Genomic DNA, 18,978 nt, shown 5'->3' on the forward strand with positions numbered 1-18,978 from the left:
CTTAAAGATAAGTGGAAAATAAGAAAATTGGGAGAAAACAGATTATCTTGAAACCATGATTTTTATTTATGTAACTTTTAAGGGAACATATATATATATGTATGTATAGTAAATCACAACTCTAGTACTCTTTCTTCTTTTGTATTTAATAGTGAATATTTCTCAGAGCCCACATCCAAAGCCTAACCCATCTATAAAAGTCTGCTGGCCTTACCTATAAATTAATAAATAAACATTGATTTTAAGATTTAAACAAGTGGAAAGGAAGGTGCAGAAAATGGTAATGGTGATGACACAAAATAAGGTTGAAAAGTTATGAAGGAACCAGATCATGGAGGGCTTTTTATGCTTATTGTATTTGTTTTCTATTGCTGCTATAACACATTACTATAAACTTAATGGCTTAAAGCAATGCCTACTTAGTATAATCACAGTCCTGTGGGACAGAAGTCTGGGCACAGTGTGACTCAGCTGGGTTCTCTGCTTAGGGTCTCACAAGGCCAAAATCAATGTGTCTGCAGGGCTGTTTTCTATATCAGAGGCTCTGGAGGAGAATCTCTTTGCAGGTACAGTCAGAATGGTGGCAGAATTCTCTTCTTTCTTATACTTTTCATGTGTGCCATCTTCAAACCAGCAATGGTGTGTCAGGTTCTGGTGCTTTGAGTCTCTCTGACTTCCTCTTTTGCTACTAGTTGGAAAAACTCTGTTTTTGAAGGCTCATATGATTAGATTAGGCCTACCCAGATATGGGAGCCAAAATTCTGCTTACCACAATCATGTTGAAGAGTTAGGACTTTATTTTGATGGGTATTACGTGATTTTAAGTAGAGGAGTGATGTGATACAATTTGTGCTTTATAACAAACCCTGTGGCTATCATAAAGACAAGGATTGTCTTGGGGCCACCCTGAGGTCGTGGAAAGCCATCAGCTATTTTAAGAAGAAAGGGATTTCATACAGTGAATAAAGTGCTTACAAAATCTGTGGAAGGGCTGGAGGAGCAGACTTAGGCCTCCTCTCTAGGATTGACTCTGGAGTAGTACCATGGAACTGGCCCACCAAGGGCACTGCGCACCTTTGTAAGGAATCAGGGAAAGGGAAAATCAGCAAGCTGCTGTCCCTGGTGCTGATCACACCACTTTAGCTGTGATCTGGAGATCAGCAAGCTGCTGCTGGGGTCCTTGACTCTAGAAACAGACTGCTTGAACTGTGTGATCTAGTCATTTGGAAGCCTCTACCCAAACTGTTTCCACACTCTATCTACTAGATCTACTGCCTCTCTCCAGGGCTGTGACTGATAGAAGCTAAATCTCATTGGCAAGAGAGTGTGGGAAATGTATTTTTCAGCTTTTCAGTCTTGGTAGTACAGGAAGGCCTACCAGGAGGAGGTTGAAACAGATATTGAGAAAGCTCATCTAGTTTATGCAGCCACAAAAAATTGTAGCAATCTAGGTTATTAATTATAGTGGCCTGAATTTGTGAGGTGGGTGAACAAGAGAAATGCAGATAGATTGATGGGATACGTAGGAAGATAATGAGTGGGAAGTGGTAATTGATTGAATGTGGTAATTGATTGAATTGATTGAATTGGAGAAGAGATAGGAGAGAAAGAAATAAGAATGACTGTTCACTTTCTGGCTAGGATAATTAGATAGTTTCCAGTGCCACTTACTGAGATACGAAAGACTAGAAGAGAACACAGCTGGGGAGTGGCAATTATTTTTGAACCTATTGATTTTGAGAAAACTGAGACTTCAGAGTGTCTGAATTTATAGGTCATTTAATTTTTAGATGTACTTGCCCATTTATGGAAGGTAGGCTAATTTCTGAATGTAGGTCATAATTTTGTGTACAAATATGTTTATGGTTGAGATTAATTCAATTGGCTATAATGTCAAGTATAAATGAGTCTAGGAGTATACAGTTGTTACTATGTTTTAGTTTTATATTTAGATTCAGGGCTTATCCCTAGTTCTTTAATCTCATTGTTGAGTATTGGGGTTTTGTTTTTGTTTTTGTTTTTTACCAGAAGGACTCATGGTGCTCTGTTTCTTATTTCTCATTTTAGAATATCTGCTTGTTAAATTTATTTCTGAAAAAAAACTTGGTGCCTTAGTTCATTTTGTGTTGCTATAACAATACCACAGACTTGGTAATTTATAAAGAAAATACATTTATTTCTCAGTTCTGCAGGCTAGAAAGTCCAATATCAGGGTGCCAGCATCTGGCTGTGGCTTTTCTACTGTATCATCCCATGATGGAAGGAGGAATGACAAGAGAGCAAGAGAGGGCTGAACTCACTTTACCAGGATAACGGGTGGACTCCCTCTATAACAGCGTTAATCTATTCATGAAGGCAGAGCCCTTGTGACCTAGTCGCCTCTAAAAGGTGCCCCCTGTCAGCACTGTTGCACTGGGTATTAAGTTTCCAGCACATGAGCTTGGTGAGGGGGAGCACATTCAAACCAAAGCACTAGGTTAGGTATAATAATTTTGGGCCATTCTTTCTGATTCATTTATTTGGGTCTGTGGTGGTGGTGGTTTGCTCCTCAGTTTGTTTCTTTAGCTCTACAGTCTCCATTTTCATCTCATTCTGCAGTTTATCATTTGTCTTTGAGCGCTGGTTTTTATATTCAAGTACTTACTAATTTCTAGACTTTTGAGTTTTGTGGAGTGTTTTCTTTTTCTTCAGTTGTGTTTTCTTTCAAATTGAGTTCTGCCTCTGTCTTTTACTTATTATGTGTTCCTCTCCTTTATTCTTTTTGCTGTGATATGCGCTCAGTTGCCATTTTGTGTCTCATTATCTTGCTTGTGCTTGAAGTGGTCACTTGTCTTCATGTCATCTCTTTGTTGAAATGTAGTATGAGTAAATTCTCTTTGTCCACTTTGACATTGTTTCTTTTGTTACTCCTAGGCAAAATTTGAGAGCTAGGGTATTACAATTTTACTTTTCCATAGTCTGAAGGTAAAACATCTCTAGAGTTGGGTTCAGTTCTTATTTGACCACTGGGTTCTGCTGTCTTTTCTGAGATTTTGTTAAATTTTCATAACCTAGTTTCAGTTATTTGAAGGCATATACTAGGATATGGGGTGGGGAAAAGATACCCCTAGACTTTGAATCATCTTACCTTTTCAGTTTAGAGCCTTGGAAAATTTCAAGTCCTGGCAGCTTTGTCTTTGTTTGTTTTGCTTTGTTTTGTTTTATTTGCCTTTGCTAAAATCCTTACATCCTGAAGTCCCACCTAAGTAGATTTCAATCATATATATAAATATGCATATATATATAATTATAATAATAATTATTATTATTTTTCTAAGATGGAGTCTCACTCTGTCACCCAGGCTGGAGTGCAGTGGCACAATCTCGGCTCACTGCAACTTCCACCTCCCGGGTTCAAGCGATTCTTCTGCCTCCGCCTCCTGAGTAGCTGGGACTACAGGCGCGCACCACCACCCCTGGCTAATTTTTTGTGTTTTTAGTAGAGACAGGGTTTCACCATGTTGACCAGGCTGGTCTCGAACTCCTGACCTCGTGATCTGCCCACCATGGCCTCCCAAAGTGCTGGGATTACAGGCGTGAGCCACCGTGCCTGGCAATCTTATATTTTTTAATGGTTGTGTGTGCTTTAAAATAAGCTTCAGAGCAGCAGTATTTTATTTGTTTATGAACATAGAATTTACAAAGTGTTTACTCATTTGTTATTTTATTTGGTTCTTATGACTGTCTTATACAGTAGGAAGGGCAGAAATTATTCCTAATTTTACTAATGAGGAAATTGAGATCCAAAAAGACAGTGAGTTGCCAAGTCACACAGCTAATTATAAAATGGAGTCAAGACCCTGAAGACAGAGCCAGGGCTATTTTTACATATTCCCTGTTACTCCACTTATTGGAAATGATTACTTCCATCTCTAAGCACAGCAATCTTTTTTTTTCTTTTTTCTTTTAAGAGGTGAGGTCTTGCTATGTTGTCCATGCTGGTCACACTCCTGGGCTCAAGTGATTCTTCCCCTTGGGCTTCCCAAGGTGCTAGGATTCTAGGTGTGAGCCACCACACCTGGCCACAGTGGTCTTACTGTATGTTTAATGCACCCACAAACCTTATTATGACACTGATTTTAACTGAGTTAAAGCTGAAAGTGGTGTGGAGGAAGTAGGGGGATAATTTTATGTGACTTGTATTCTGATCCTTAATTAAAGTGACTTCGTTGTATCTTGGTTTTAATAAAACTAATATTAATTTTTTTCAGCATTTTTTCCCTTTCTGGTACGTAGGAAACTTGTAAGTGTCCTTGATAAAATCAGATCTAGATCCTCCAGGGCTGGCAGTGCAGACAAGATTTTCTCTATGGGAAACATGACTTTGTGGGCCCTATTCTCATCTCTGTAATTCACTTTCCTCTTGGTATCTTTTCCTTTGTATTCCTTCCTTGATCAAGAAACATGTATCCCTTACTTACCACTTTTTTCCAAGAATGTATTCTTAATTCTTCCATAAATTCTGTGTATTACACCTGAAATTAGATTGGAACGTTCAAACAAGGCATCTCTGAAAGAGCTTGGTTAATTAGTAACAAAGAACTACATGTTTTTGTTTATAAGTTATGGCTTCTCCAGGCCTCAGAAACTGCTGGCCTCCTTCCATCTTTCCATCTATTCCCAAGGGGTACATGCCTAGATACCTGCCCTTCTTGATGATGACACCCAAGAAAGCAAGTTCTACAGAGAGATTGAACTTCTATTGTCTTTATAGTGTCTACTTTTCTAGGTTCCATTTTTTTCCTAAGCCTGTTCTTATGTAATAATTGATTAACAGTAGGCATAGTGACCATCTTCAGGAAAAATGATTCCCCAGTTTTACTGTGGCCTCCCTAGGGCACTCATATTAGATCACAGAGTCCATAGGAGTCATGTGATAGAATAAGATTTTTTAAAGATGTTGAGCCTAGTAATATTGTTTATCTGTAGTTGGGAAGAAGTCCACAGTACATGTGCTAGTAGTTTAAGCTGACAGTGTTGTTTTTAATCCTTCTAGGTATCATGAACTGATCACTAAATATGGGAAGTTGGAGCCTTTGGCAGAAGTGGACCTAAGACCCCAGAGCAGTGCAAAAGTAGAAGTCCACTTTAACGATCAGGTGGAAGAAATGAGCATTCGTCTGGACCAAACAGTGGCAGAACTAAAGAAACAGTTAAAAACTCTAGTACAATTACCCACAAGCAACATGCTTCTCTACTATTTTGACCATGAAGCACCCTTTGGCCCAGAGGAAATGAAGTACAGCTCTCGGGCATTGCATTCCTTTGGCATTAGGGATGGAGATAAAATTTACGTGGAATCCAAAACAAAATAACCTCTACCAGCCTTGTGAAAAACATACACATAAGGACTTGTTGCAGGGCATTTGTTTTTAATGTGGTTTTCTTTAGGAGGGAGAGGTTGTTTTTGTTTTGTTTTGTTCTGTTTAGGTTTGGGAAGGATTTTGTATATTTTTCCCCCTGGAGTGAGTAGGGGCCATTTTTGGGTGTTTTCTACCACAGATTGATTTGGCTCAGCCAGCGGAATTGGCCACATTTCCAGTGTATGTGCCCTCTCTAAGGAAAGATGACAAAGAAATCACCGACTTCTTACTGTGTTCACTGGGATTTGCCTGCCACTTGGTTATCATTACTGTTGGGTGAACCTGTGAAGATAACATGAACACTGTAGCCCCTTAGAAGGGTCTCATAGAGAATTTAAACAGGGTGACAAGGAATCTTCACAGGAAGGGCCAGAACTTCTCTCTCCCAGTTCTTCCTTCCGCTACCCTCCCTCCTTGGCTTTTTTGGTTCAGTTCCATTTTTTTTTCATTTTGACATGTGGTTTACCTAATAGTTTTGTTCTGTTCATAATTCTTATTTCTCAACCTGGGTGATTTTTTTGTTCTCATTTCTCCCTTTTGAAATAATTGAAAGTGTTTTAAGCATTTTTAACCTGATTCTAATCTCAGGTACGCAGTAAGAAGCTATAACTCTGTTAGAACCTCGAAGAGTAGATGTAGAATGAAAACTCCAGGAAAACTTGCAGTTATTCTGGAAGCACCGGCAGAACAGTCTGATCTCTTTGTATGTTACTAACTCACTTTTAATGTCCCTGTACATTATGTCAGCCATTACTTTCATAACATGAAATATGTCAGATTCCAGAGTTCTTTTATTTTTGCTTATTGAATGTATTTCCTCATATCTTTCTTTTTCATTACTTTAAACTATTGGGAATTGAGGCCTGACTTCATAAATAATTCAATAGAGTCCTGGATACGTGCACCAGGAGAGTTGAGAATTAGCTCATAAACTATCTGTGGTGTGTGTGGGGAATGAAGTTGGGGGATGTGGGGGAAGAGCTTATGACTTTCCCACCTGTGTCATCCATTGGAAGCCCTTGCTCTTGCACTTTGCATTAAAAGTGGGAAACATTAATCAAAGGGAGATTTTATTCCCAGGTTTTCCCTGGGACTTTGTGATATCATAATTGAACAGTTCTTTTGTTTTACATTTCAATTTAGTTGCCTCATAGAAGTATAACTGCCCAATCTATGAGTAAAGTGTAAGTGTCAAAACTTTACAATTGCCTCCAAGTCATATTTTTTGCAGAAGCACATTTAAAGCACTTTTCTGTAAAAGCTAGTTCCTTACCTGCTTGGAAATCTTTTTGTTTGTTCTTCTATTCCTTTGTTAATCAGATGTAATCCCTTTCTTTAATGTGTATTTTTCTTGGTCCACCATGTTTACAGATGGGAGACTTGAGAGATACTTAGCATAACTGGGGCAGAAAGTGTGTAAGTGAAGTATTTTTCAAAGAATGCAGTTATTATCTGATTGCATTTGACCTTTTGACCTTTGTTACATAATTCTACCCCTCCTACAAATTTAATTTTTTTATGAAATTTTTAGGTGACTTGTAAATTCTTCATGTATGAGGAGTTGTGTTTATTAATGCTACTTTTTAAATTTTCCTGTGCCATGTGGCAGATGTTTATTCTCTTAATGCACTTCAGGTTTGCTATCTGTAAAGCCTTTGACCCAGGCCTACTGAGTCAAATCTACATTCAGTGTAACATTAAAGGTGGAAACCAAAGGGTTTGAGAAAGACGAATAAGGCCTATTCTCCTTCTGCTGCAGACTTTATCTTTCAAAATCATAAAAATGAGCAATGGAGATCCAGGCTGGGTATAGACAAGAATAATTATTTTGCAAACACATTTTCCTGACAGATTTTTGGAAGTAGGAAAAAAGTATGGCAACAGTGTCATGAAGATTGAAACTGTAGGTGCTTTGTGTATGTATGCATGAGTGCAGATGAGTTTGAGAGAGAAAAAGTGTAATTGAGCCCTTTGCTTTTGTCAGCCTGGGAAACAGATGCGTTCTTATTTTTTGAAGTTGTGTGACCCTGGACTGTCCCACAGCAGAAGGCAGAACAAACACTTATGTTATGCTTTAATCATAAGTGGAATGGTCACAATTAATAAGATATTTTATATATGGCAAAGTTTTATGAAATGCTTTTTTACTATTAGAGACCTGTTTCTTCTGTTATTACAGAACACAGTGTTTATCAACTGCGGACATAATTCTTTTATTATACAGTTGCATGTAAAGGGAGCTTCTCATTTAATTCAGCGGATGTGGGTATTTTTAGGGCATTGTAATTGATGGTTTTAATAATTGCTGAATAATTTTTGATTAAGAGAAAAATGTAATACAATTACTGGTCTGAGTTACAGAACAGAAGTTAATGAAAAAGGCTATTTGAGCATGTGTACTTATAGATTCATTTGGGTGGCTGAGAAAAGATGCTGCTTTTGAAATAAAATTGGTGCTGTGTAGACACTTGTAACCAAAATTATTTTTATAACAGAACTAAAAGAAGGAGAGAAGAGGCCATGGACCTTTGAGTTTACATGTTATACCTAATTGATTGTCTGCAGCTTATCTGTATTTTAATATTGACTTTGTCCAGATTCAGTGAGAACATAGTATTGACATTATGAGGCAAAATGCTGTCATAGCCAGTATTACTGATATGTTGCTACAGACACAATGTATAGAACATACCTTTTCTAAAATAGGAATTATTTCCAGTTATGAAAAAGGAAAAGAGTAATAAAGAAAACCAAATCAAAACCAAGGGATCCTTTCTACATGTGGGTGAACGGCTGCTAAAGCCACAGTAGAAACCAATTTTTGAATTTGAATTGTTGAAATATCCTAGATTGCTTTAATGGAAAAAATCCAGAGTCACATATCTTTTTTATTATCAAGTTTTTGCAGCCTTTTGCCAGCATTGCCATAAATACGTAAGAAAGCAGCAGATAGTATAAGCCCCTAGTTATTAAGACTTCTCAGTTAATATTAAGGCCAAAATATAACTTGAGCTAGGTATAACAGGGCTGAATGCTACAGTGTTGTTTTTAAAGATTTTGCTTATTTTTAAAGACAGGAAAATTCAGTTCTAACCAGATGTTCCAGCTATGTTACTCAACCAGCAGTGGTAGGAGCAGAGAGCACTTGCACTAAGAGCTGATCACCATTTGAGATACGCGGCTTAACGCACATGTGAGTGTAGCTTGCTACATGAAAATGCTAGGCTCTAGGGCATGTAAAACATGAATACAGAATACTAGATTGTTCTAAGTAATGTCATTTCGGTTTGTGAATTTGATTTTTCCCTTCATTTCATGTCATATTGAAAATGCAAACAAACTGCTCTCAAGAACACCCAGAAGCTATCTGTGTTACCAGATGTGTTGTGAACACTCTACTATTTTTCATAGGTGCTTCCTTGAAATATATGTCCATTGTAGTGGTGGAGAGGGACTGGACTCTCTCAGGCTCTTTACTTGCCAGTTGTCTCCCGCAGTTAATGGAAATATATATACATATATATATATATTTTATTTAGAATATAATTTAAACATGAAGGTCTATTCTTTGCACTTTTTATTAATATATATATAGATAATCTTTAAAAAAATTAAAATTCAAGTCCATTTTATCTTTGTGTTCTGATTTTTTTTCTGGAGTGTGGGGTCAAGGTATGTGTTTATTTTTATATAGCTAAAAAGGTTCATTGGTTCTGTGGTTGAGTTCTCTGGAGGATTGGCCCAAACTAGTAAAAGTCTGACCATTTTGACAAATTTAATTGGAATTTTGCCAGAGTTGAAAACTACAAAACAAAGATTCATAAGAAACGTGTTATGGCTTTTCTGTTAGCAAAATCTTATACTTCTGACATGCTGTTTATACTCCTTTTTTATCCTTTGAGGATAAACCCTCTCGAGATATTTGGCATCACCTTTTATGAGTAAGATTGAAAAATCTCATTTGTTGAAATTAAAATTTGCCAGTTCTTATTCAGGGGCTGCTTTTTTCCTTAGAAAAATAGTTTTTTATAAGTATTAGAATTTTGTACATTTGAACCCTGCTTGCTTATCAATAATTTCTTGGTAAGCCATTATGAATTAACCTTGCACCAAGGATTAAAGTCTAAGGACTATACTTTATATCTGTATTTAAGAGACAGAGTCCATTCACTTCTCTTTCAATGCCTCAGAAATACATAAGTATCATGACCTGTTTAAGATTATTTCTGCCTGCTATTCAAATTTCAAAGAATTGTAATTTAAGCCTCTGTGCTACATTTTATTTAATTACTATTTAGTATGAGCTTCTTTTGAGTTCCTGCAAAGTAGACATGTATCAAGACATCCAATTACTATTGGACTGGAAAATGCTGTGACTTCCTCTAGTTATTAGAATGCATTTAAAACAAGAAGGTTGACTTCTGAAGTCACATTTCTCTTTCAGTTCTTCTCTGGAAAAGAAGTTCCTGTTTGGTCTTTACAACAACCCTACGAGGTCGACACTCTTATCTCCATTTTCTTACTAGTGAGGAAGTTGATGCACAGATAGGTTAAGTAATACCAAAAGTCACATGGCTGGTAAATGACAAGACCGGGATGCCAACCCAAGCAGTTTGGTTGCAGAACCCATGCACTGACAGCTGTACTGTAGTGCTGACTGCTAAAGTTCCCCAGCACACACCTTTATTGTTAGTCTTCCTTTTCATGGAAAAACTAAAATGACATGTCCTCAATATCCATTTACTAAATTGATTGGCTCTGTAACAGAATCACTGATGTGGCTGATAGCTCTAGATCCAGACTGGAATTTGCCCTCTGTTTTCCAGAATTGTGAAATTGTGGTTGGGACATACCTGTTGCCCTCCCTTCTCTGAAATGCCATATTGGACACAGGATGGGTGTTACTCACAATAATAAATGAACAAGTAATGTGACCCAAAGAGACTGATGATTTATTTTTTAACCTCAGGACATTCTAGAGCCCTAAAACTGGTTTCAGCAGATAGCCAAAGGTGAGAGAGATCACTCAGTTCCAACTCAGACTTTTATCAAGGAGGCATAATGTTCCAAGTGAACTTAAAATGGGCGTTTATTGAGGAAAAACAATAATCTAATGTTCCAGGAGCCATTATCAAAGGTTTTGTTATTGGAAAGGATGAGGCAGTCACGCTACTGTTCCTCCTTAAAATTCAAGAGAGAGCCTTGTAAAGAATATAAATATTACTTTAAAAATAGAGGAGACAGCTTTTCTGTTATGGTCTGCAAGATCTAGATCTGTCTAAAAAAAAAAAGACAATGCAATTTCATTTCATCAGATCATTCCGACTTGTCATCCTTGAATGCTTCTTAGTTACCTAAGTAACACAATTAAGGTGTTAAATAAATAAGAATGAGACTAGGGGAAGCAGACATCAAATAATACAGACTAAAGAGAAAAATGTTTTCTGAAATATTTGATACATTTGAGGGCAGATGTAAGCTTTATTCCATTGTTAGGGAATACAACTAGGACAATAGGAACTGTCTTGGTTGTGTTAAAATTTTGTTTGCTTTAAATTTAAATTTCATTTTTCCATTACCTCATGCATTTTGAGGATCCTGTTATGGACAACATTACCATTTTCAGGGAGAATGTAAGTATAGCCTTAGATGTAATCACCTTAATGAGCTAGATCTAGGAGGTTAGACATTATTCAATCGGTGGATAAGTGGTAGAAACATCTGCATTACAGAACTATCTGGACTCCATGGTAGATCATACAATGAAGCAAAACAGTTGTAGAGGGCTTGTAAATTTATCAAAGACACCAATGTCACAGATTCTGTTGTCCAGGAAGCAGATGCTAAGGTGGAGTTGGGAGTGCAGAAAATTTGCTGGGGAGTAACACCTGTGAAGGAACAGGGGAAGAAGTAGAGTTGAGCAGGATGGACCATCAGACCGTGCTACAGACCTAAATCAGTCAGCCCAATAGGATGCTCTGGAGCAAAGATTTTCCATTAGATAAGTCCTGCCTTGGCCAGAAATGGTCAGGACCCTTTACCAACGCTTTTCTCAATCATTGATTTGGGAATGCTTCAAGAACATAATCTCAGCTTGAACACTGATAGAGATGCTAAAGGAGCCAATAGTTGGAAGCTGTCGGCTAACCGTACACCTTGTAGCTGGAAATCATCCCTTTTCTGAGGGTGGATCTGAGTTGTGCAACTTAGTGTCTGCCACGGTCCACTCCATGCAATGTGTAGATCCGATTTTCCATCCATGATCAACAGCAGCTCCTCTAGGGCTCTGGTGGGCCTCTCTATCTGAGAGGAAACTTAGAAGAGGGAGGCTAGGAAAATGGCCTAAAACCCCTGTCACTGCAGTTGATTTCAGAGTGACAACTGGTACCCACTCTCTCCCTCTTCTGCTGTCCATTGTAACCCCTTGGCTTTTGTCTCTCTGGTCTCAGTGGCTTACCTGGTGGTTTCACTCAAACCTTAATCAACCCTTAATTCCTTATAGTCTGAGTCCTTGGTAACAATATGCTGCTTGGACTAGGGTTGCTACACTTGTCCATCACAGTCCTAATTGGGTAAGGGAGTACCAAGAGGCACCAAAATTGGTCACCTGAGTTCCATATGTTATCCCTTGAACCCGATGTATAACAATAGCCCTGCCTCCTCCTGCTGATCAGAGTCAACTACTCCTAATGAGATGATGGTTCATGTTCTTGCCTGCTAGTCTTTGCACACAAGGAGCCCAGTGTGTCCAGGCAGCATTACAGCCATAGCTTATCACTCAGCGGGACTCTTGCCATGTCCCCTGGTGAGAATGTACCCTCTTGAGGAACCAGGACTTCAAACTGCCTAGGCCAGAGATGAGGGGTTGGGGAGCACAAAGTCCCCCAGTAAACACTGGGAGTAATGGCAAGTAGGGCCACTCCTGCCTTCACACCTTGGTTCCTGGATCCATGTAGTCTTATTACTGGGGACACAGCACCCTACAAAGGTCTCCGACTCACTATGTACACAGTATCCTGGAGAATAGCACCTCATCCTTGCACAATATTGTCTTCAAGGTGGTGCTTCACCTACTCCTTAAGCAATTTACTTCAATTCTCACCTAGGCTGGCATCGTCTGCTCATACTATCGCTACTCCAACCAGTGAATCCCATGGCCATGGGCTCACACCCACACTTCCTTTTCTATAAAGCAGGTTCCCTATCAGATGCTATTTTGATGGAATTCTATGCTTATGGATCAGGCATTCTGCAAGCCTCCCATTAATGGTGCTGGCTGAGGCCCCTGGGCAAGAAAGGCATACTCATGTCCAGAATATGGCTCTATCCCTGTGGAAAGGAAGTGCTGACCCTTCCAGGATGAAAGGGGTCCAATGTGGTTATTTTGCCACCAAATGGCCAATTGGTCTCCCCAACAGTAACATATTGGGGTTTCAGCCTTGGTCTCCATTATTAGCAGGTTGAACAGGTTGAACATGTCAGAGACCATGGTAGCTAGACCAGCCTTGCTAAATGGAAGTGCTTGCTATTTGACCCATGCATAACCTCCAACCCTGCTGCTGTTGCCACTTTATACACACGCCCATTGGACCAACACTGACGAAGACTGCTTAACATCAACTGGCTGAGTCATTTTGTTGACTTGGTTGTTTAGTTCGTCTTTTGTAGTGGATGTTTTCTGGTGGGTGATAATATATGACACAAAGATCTTCACACTTCATGTCCACCCTCATCTGTCTATCCAGGCCCCTTTGTCACTGATTTTCCCATCTTTTTCTTTCTGGGCCGTTGTCCAGCCAGCTACGTCACTGACCACTGCCTACGAGTTTGTACGTATTCTAACCGCAGAACTCTTTCTCCTTTGACACAAAATGCATGACAAGATATATCACCCAAAGCGCCACACATTGAGAGGATGTTCTCTTATCATTGTCTTTCAAGGCCACTCGCATGAAGCTGTCATGTAGCCAGCCAGTGTCTGCTTTAGGCTTGCACACACACACCAATTGAGTCCATCCATGCACCAGGCTTAGGCTTCTTCCTCCTCCTTCATCTTGTCATATTCACCTTCCCACATATAGCCATATGTGTGATCTGGTTGGGGAGCAGTTACTGACACAACTATGTCAGGTGACATGGAGTCTGGACTACCTACTCAGGCATCTTACTCATGACTGGTCCCAGATATGTCATTTCCATCTTATGCTAGATTGGGTCCACCTGACTTCATGACTTGATGGGTCCAACAAGGCCTAGGTCTTCATGGGAAGTTCTGGATACATGACCACTGTCTCTTGGACAAATATTCCATCATACAGCCTAGTCCCATGAGAGAGCTGATTTTCAGGTGTGTAATTCTTTGCTGCAGATGGCATGACCTTGCTCCGGAACTCCAGGGGCCCGTGTGGTAGTTCTTCCACTGGGGTTTACAATAAACTCCACATTTCATCTTTTTCCACCAAACACATCAAAGGACCTACTGAATGCATGACCCAAGCAGCAGAGCTGCTTGCATAGTAGCCTGGAGCTGCAATGGAATTCTTTTATGTTCTCAAACCAACACAAAACTGGCTTAATTTCATATCACCTGAGGCAATTTCTCTGAGTTTGGAAAATGTAGCCTGCAGAACCCGAAGAAGCTGACAAAGAACAAAGAATTTCTTTGTAGACAGGCTACAAGATGCAGCAATTTGCCTTTTCCTTTGGAGGAGTTGTCCCAGCATGTTCCTGGCCACTGGATTCCTTACAACTTTACTGAAATAGCATCCCTGAATCTTTGTAGGATTTATCTTCCACCTTCTGGAGCACCTGTGTGTTACCAAGGCATCTAGCCTGCTGGCCATCTCTTGCCCATGGTGCCCAGTCTGTTGATGTTGTCAATGCAGTGAATCAAGGTGATGTTCTGTAGTACCCAGATGGCTCAGATCTCTTTGCATTATAATATGAAAGAAGGTGGGAGACTTATAGCCCTGGGGCTAAGCTAGAAATATACATACATATATATTTCTATGTATGTATATATATTGCTGTCTGTTCCATAAGATGTGAACTATTTTTGACCCTCATACCTGATTCAAACAGGAAAACAAAATGCATTTGTGAAGTGAATGGCCACATATCACGTATCTGAAGCACAGCAGCTGTGATTCGTACTACCACTTGGTTGAACTTGGAGTGGTCCATAGCCATTCTCTAGGATCCATCCTGGCCAGTTCAATAAAGATATGGTAGAGTCCACCACCCCTTTTCTTTAAGAGTGACACTAATGTTTACCATTCTCCCCACAGCCCAGGATGCAATATTCGTTTATATTACTACTTTAGCCAGAGTAGGGGCAGGGAGTGTCAGAGATTTCCACTTGCCTTCCTTACTATGATAGTTGTTACTCTATAGGCTAAAGACCCAATGTGCCAAGTATTAATACATCAATCCCAATTATACACACTCACCGACAAGCTTCCCAATCCAACAAATGATAAGTCAGTTTGTTCTCTCCCCACACCTGATGTTCTCTCACAGCCAGATTCTCAAAGACATTCTAATTCATGTATGCCGCCATCTTGTGTATCTGGTTATGCCCAGACGGCATTTATACCAGCAGCAGTCTTGCCTCGAGAAGGATGGAGCATCAAATGTGGGTCAAAAAGGCTGAGATATAAATATCCTAGAGTGCATGGAAAAAGAAAGCAATTAGTATGCCTCTAGCAGTTTATTAAAACAGAGCCAACGATTTTGCTTCAAGACATTTAGGTTCACTACTGGACTAAAACCTTAATAAAGGCTGGACAAACAGAATCCTTCTCTAGGTGAATCTTTGATTTGAGCTTAATTTTATTGTAATATCTTGGGACTGGGAAAATAACATCCAGGGGGTCTGCAGACCCTGTAAACCTACTGTAAGCTTTTCTAGGATTCCTTTTATTCCCTGAGCCCTATGTGTTCCCACTTTAACAGGGTCTTTGGGTGTCATTATTAACTCAAACTCCTTCTATAACAGTCCTCAAAATATCTAGGCATTCTCCTTCCCTCAGTCTATGGTCACTTGTGTAAATGGCCAAAGGTCTTTTTGGGGACAGATTGGGAAAATTACCATATTTGCCATGGTGTTGCAGGGTCCTTCCCTTTGGGGACCTGTTACCTTTTCAGTCTACAGATTCCAGATTTGAAAACTGACTCAGATCCAGAAACCAAGCAGGGACCATGGCTTTTTATTGGGACCACTGTTCTCCACCTTTCTCAACCATTCCTGCTATTATTATTATTATTATTATTATTATTATTATTATTATTATTTTGAGACAGAGTCTCGCTCTGTCGCCCAGGCTGGAGTCCAGTGGGGAGATCTCGGCTCACTGCAACCTCCACCTCCCAGGTTCAAGCAATTATCCTGCCTCAGCCTCCTGAGAAGCTGGGATTCCAGGCACACCACCACGCCCAGCTAATTTTTGTGTTTTTAGTAGAGATAGGGTTTCACCATGTTGGCCAGGCTGGTCTTGAACTCCTGACCTCAGGTGATCTGCCTGCCTTGACCTCCCACAGTGCTGGGATTACAGGTGTTAGCCACCGTGCCCGGCCCTTGCTCTTTTATATTATTATACAGAGGAAATCATGCTTTCGTTGGCTGCCCAACTGCTTTGCCCCTTGGATACTGTGCTCTATTAAGCATGTCCTTGACTCTTTAAGAATCAGGCCCCTTGGCTGCCCCTCTGATCTTCTTGGTCATTATAAAAATTATGACTGCCCCCCAACATCCCTGGCTTCACACAGTAGAGTGACGTCACCTGGCTTGTATTTCTTCACGGACCCATCATCTCCGTTGCTGTCAGAGCCAAGTTCCGTGATCACCTTTCCTGGCATTAGCCTTGGCTGGCATTAGGGAGCCACTACTGAGCTGCTTAGTGATGCTGGTGCCTCCCTCTCCAGTATATTCCTGCTGGCTTTGGTGGCTGGTGCGTCTGTCCTCTGGCCTTCCATGGAACATGATTGTCCAGTGGGCCTAGCAGAGTCACATAATATATCTATTCCACCATGCAAACATCTGTGAGCCTTTTGGTCCCTTCTTCGGCCATCTGCCATGGTAATTCAGGCATTTGAACCTTGCTCAGTGTGAGCCATCGTTTTTTCCAGGCTTCTAGAAGCTTCAGTAGGAGTGAGTTTGCACCATCCCCTTGTGTTCTTGACACCACGTTGAAGTCTGTAGCTCTAGAGAGTGCCCCTAAGTCAACAAACTCTCTCTTGTTCTATCTTATGTCCCAGCCTCCTTGATAGAGCAGCCTCAGAATCCAGCCCCCTGGGTATGCCCTCCCCTCATCCCTACCAGTGTGTGCTGGTGCTTTGCACCTGCAGCACCTTCGTGGGCACAGTCTCTTTAGACTCCTGTCAGGCCCAGCATGTCTCTGGCTGGGTTATGTGGCAGCTTAGCCCAGATTATAGGCCTGGCATTCAGGAGAGAAGGTGGGAGCAGCTTTTGAAGAGAGCAACTGTTGTCTTGTGGGGGAAAGTCCTGTCTACTGTCTTCCTGTGCTGGGAGAAATTTTAACTCCTGATGGTGTGGAGTAGGATGTGTCTAAAGGATCAGAAGTTTTGAGAAATAAATCTTTGGAGGCATCTACCCAGATAGCCTCCAAATGAGGCTAGGTATATAAAATAGGTATATAAAATACCTGTATGTACATATGTGTGTACATGTGTATATGATAAATCATATGTATAATATATATGTACGTATATATAATAAATTATATATACGTACATATGTATACACACACATATATGTATGTTTTTCCCAGGTAGGCCTTGATATTGGCATAATAGAGCTGCTTCCCTTGAGTGCCTGACCAAGTCCTTGTCATTCAACAGGGCTCTCCAGAGAAAAAACTGCCCATTCGGGGAGTCCTGCTTTGAGTGGAAAGTGATACACTGTGTAGCCTGACCTTGCCCGGTCATTGGCGGAGGGCTGCCCCATGAAGAGTGTGTCCTGGGTTTCAGCACTGGGGCTGAGCCTGAAGGCACTGAGGGCTGGAGGCTGTTGGCCAACTGTGCTTCTCACATCTCTGTTGTACGGGGGTCTAAGTGGCGCATCTCCCAGTCTGCCATAGCCAATAACTGCATCATTTCAAAGTAGCTCCCATCTGACCATCTGTTCCACAGAAAAAGGTATACAAAACCTAAGAAAACAACACAAAAACAAAATAAAACCCATTCTACTTGAGTTTAGAGGACTGTATTTTTTTATTTTGTTTGAGCTGTCTTTCCTCTTGCCTATAAAACAGCATCAACTTCTGCCATTTTTTTTTTATAAAGCACAGTTATCTTGGGTAACTAGCTCCAACCCACCCCCACCGTACCCCACATCTAAATCTTGTCAAAATCTTTGCTCACCTCACACTTTCAACGAAATAAGTCCTCCTGCTGACACAGCATGAAAAGACATTTTTGTCATTTGTCAATCTGTGACCACTGGGTGTACACCAGAACACACACTCACTGACCAGCTTCCCAAAGTGATAAGCCAGCCTGGTGTCTCCCCACGCACCTGGTGTTCCCTTGCAGCCGGATTCTCAAAGGCATTCTAATTCATGTATGCCACCATCTTGTGTATCTGGTTATGCCCAGATGGCATTTATCCGGGCAGCAGTCCTGTCTCAAGAAGGATGGAGCATCCAACATGGGTCAAAAGGGCTGTGATATAAATATCCTAGAATGCATGAAAAAGGAAGAAAGCAATTAGTATGCCACCAGCAGTTAATTAAAACACAGCCAGCGATTTTGCTTCAAGACATTTAGGTTGGCTACTGGACTAAAACCTAAGGCTGGACAAAGAGAATCCTTCTGTAATGAGTCTTTGATTTGAACTTAATTTTATTTTAAATAGGCACCCAAGAAACTAGCTTTTCTGTTATATAAATATACGCCATTCTAAGCACTCCTAGAATCCAAAGAAAAACAAATAAATGTGAGTCATTTGGAAAGAAGCAGTCATTTAACATCTGTAAGTAAATATGTGTGGAGGATTCATAATACCAGTGAGAGAATAAACAATGTGGGAAACCTACTGAATTATCACAGGTTTTTGGAAAAACACGGAGTAATTTAAACTAAAAAAATTTAGCTCGCCAAGCACTCTTGTCCATTTTAAGACAACATGCTTAAACCCAGAATTATATTTCTTTTGTACAGTTGGCATTTAAATGTCTGGTCAGAGAAAATTTGCAGTAATTTTTAAATTCCCATTGATGTGCAGAAGAGTTTTTTTTTCCTGCTACAGTCAAGTTACTTCTTTCTTAATAAATTCCATTTAAACATTTTGAATAGTAGATTTAGCTTATGCCTTAGCCAGTTTTGCTCATTCCACATCTACTGGATGCTTGGAAGCATCTAACCGAGCACGTTTTCCTCTTATTCACATGCCTTTTAAACTATTTACTTACTGCAAATTTTTTATCAGAAGGGGTTTATCTCCCCCCTCTGCCTCCAGTGACCCTCACTGGGTGTTAGGGAAGGTTTCCAGGCCACAGTTTGAGATTTCCCTTGTGGAAGATCGTGTCTAGCGCTAGGTCCCTTGTTAGATTTTGCC

The 18,978-nt window shown here is 40.2% G+C and overlaps 2 protein-coding genes across 4 annotated transcripts in view; both read left to right on the forward strand.

Annotated features, from left to right (window-relative positions):
* Positions 1-9,034, forward strand: part of TBCEL (tubulin folding cofactor E like) — a 66,675-nt gene extending 57,641 nt beyond the window's left edge. For all 3 annotated transcript variants that reach the window (NM_001363644.2, NM_152715.5, NM_001130047.3), the window contains one exon: positions 5,036-9,034. In NM_001363644.2, the coding sequence (NP_001350573.1) occupies positions 5,036-5,354 (319 nt within the window). In that variant the 3' untranslated portion in view covers positions 5,355-9,034. The remainder of the gene's footprint in view (positions 1-5,035) is intronic.
* TBCEL-TECTA (TBCEL-TECTA readthrough) overlaps positions 1-18,978 on the forward strand; it is a 167,389-nt gene that overhangs the window by 57,641 nt on the left and 90,770 nt on the right. The gene's annotated exons all lie outside the window — the stretch shown is intronic.

The sequence above is a fragment of the Homo sapiens genome, chromosome 11 (genome assembly GCF_000001405.40).
Source record: "Homo sapiens chromosome 11, GRCh38.p14 Primary Assembly".
Lineage (NCBI taxonomy): Eukaryota > Metazoa > Chordata > Mammalia > Primates > Hominidae > Homo > Homo sapiens.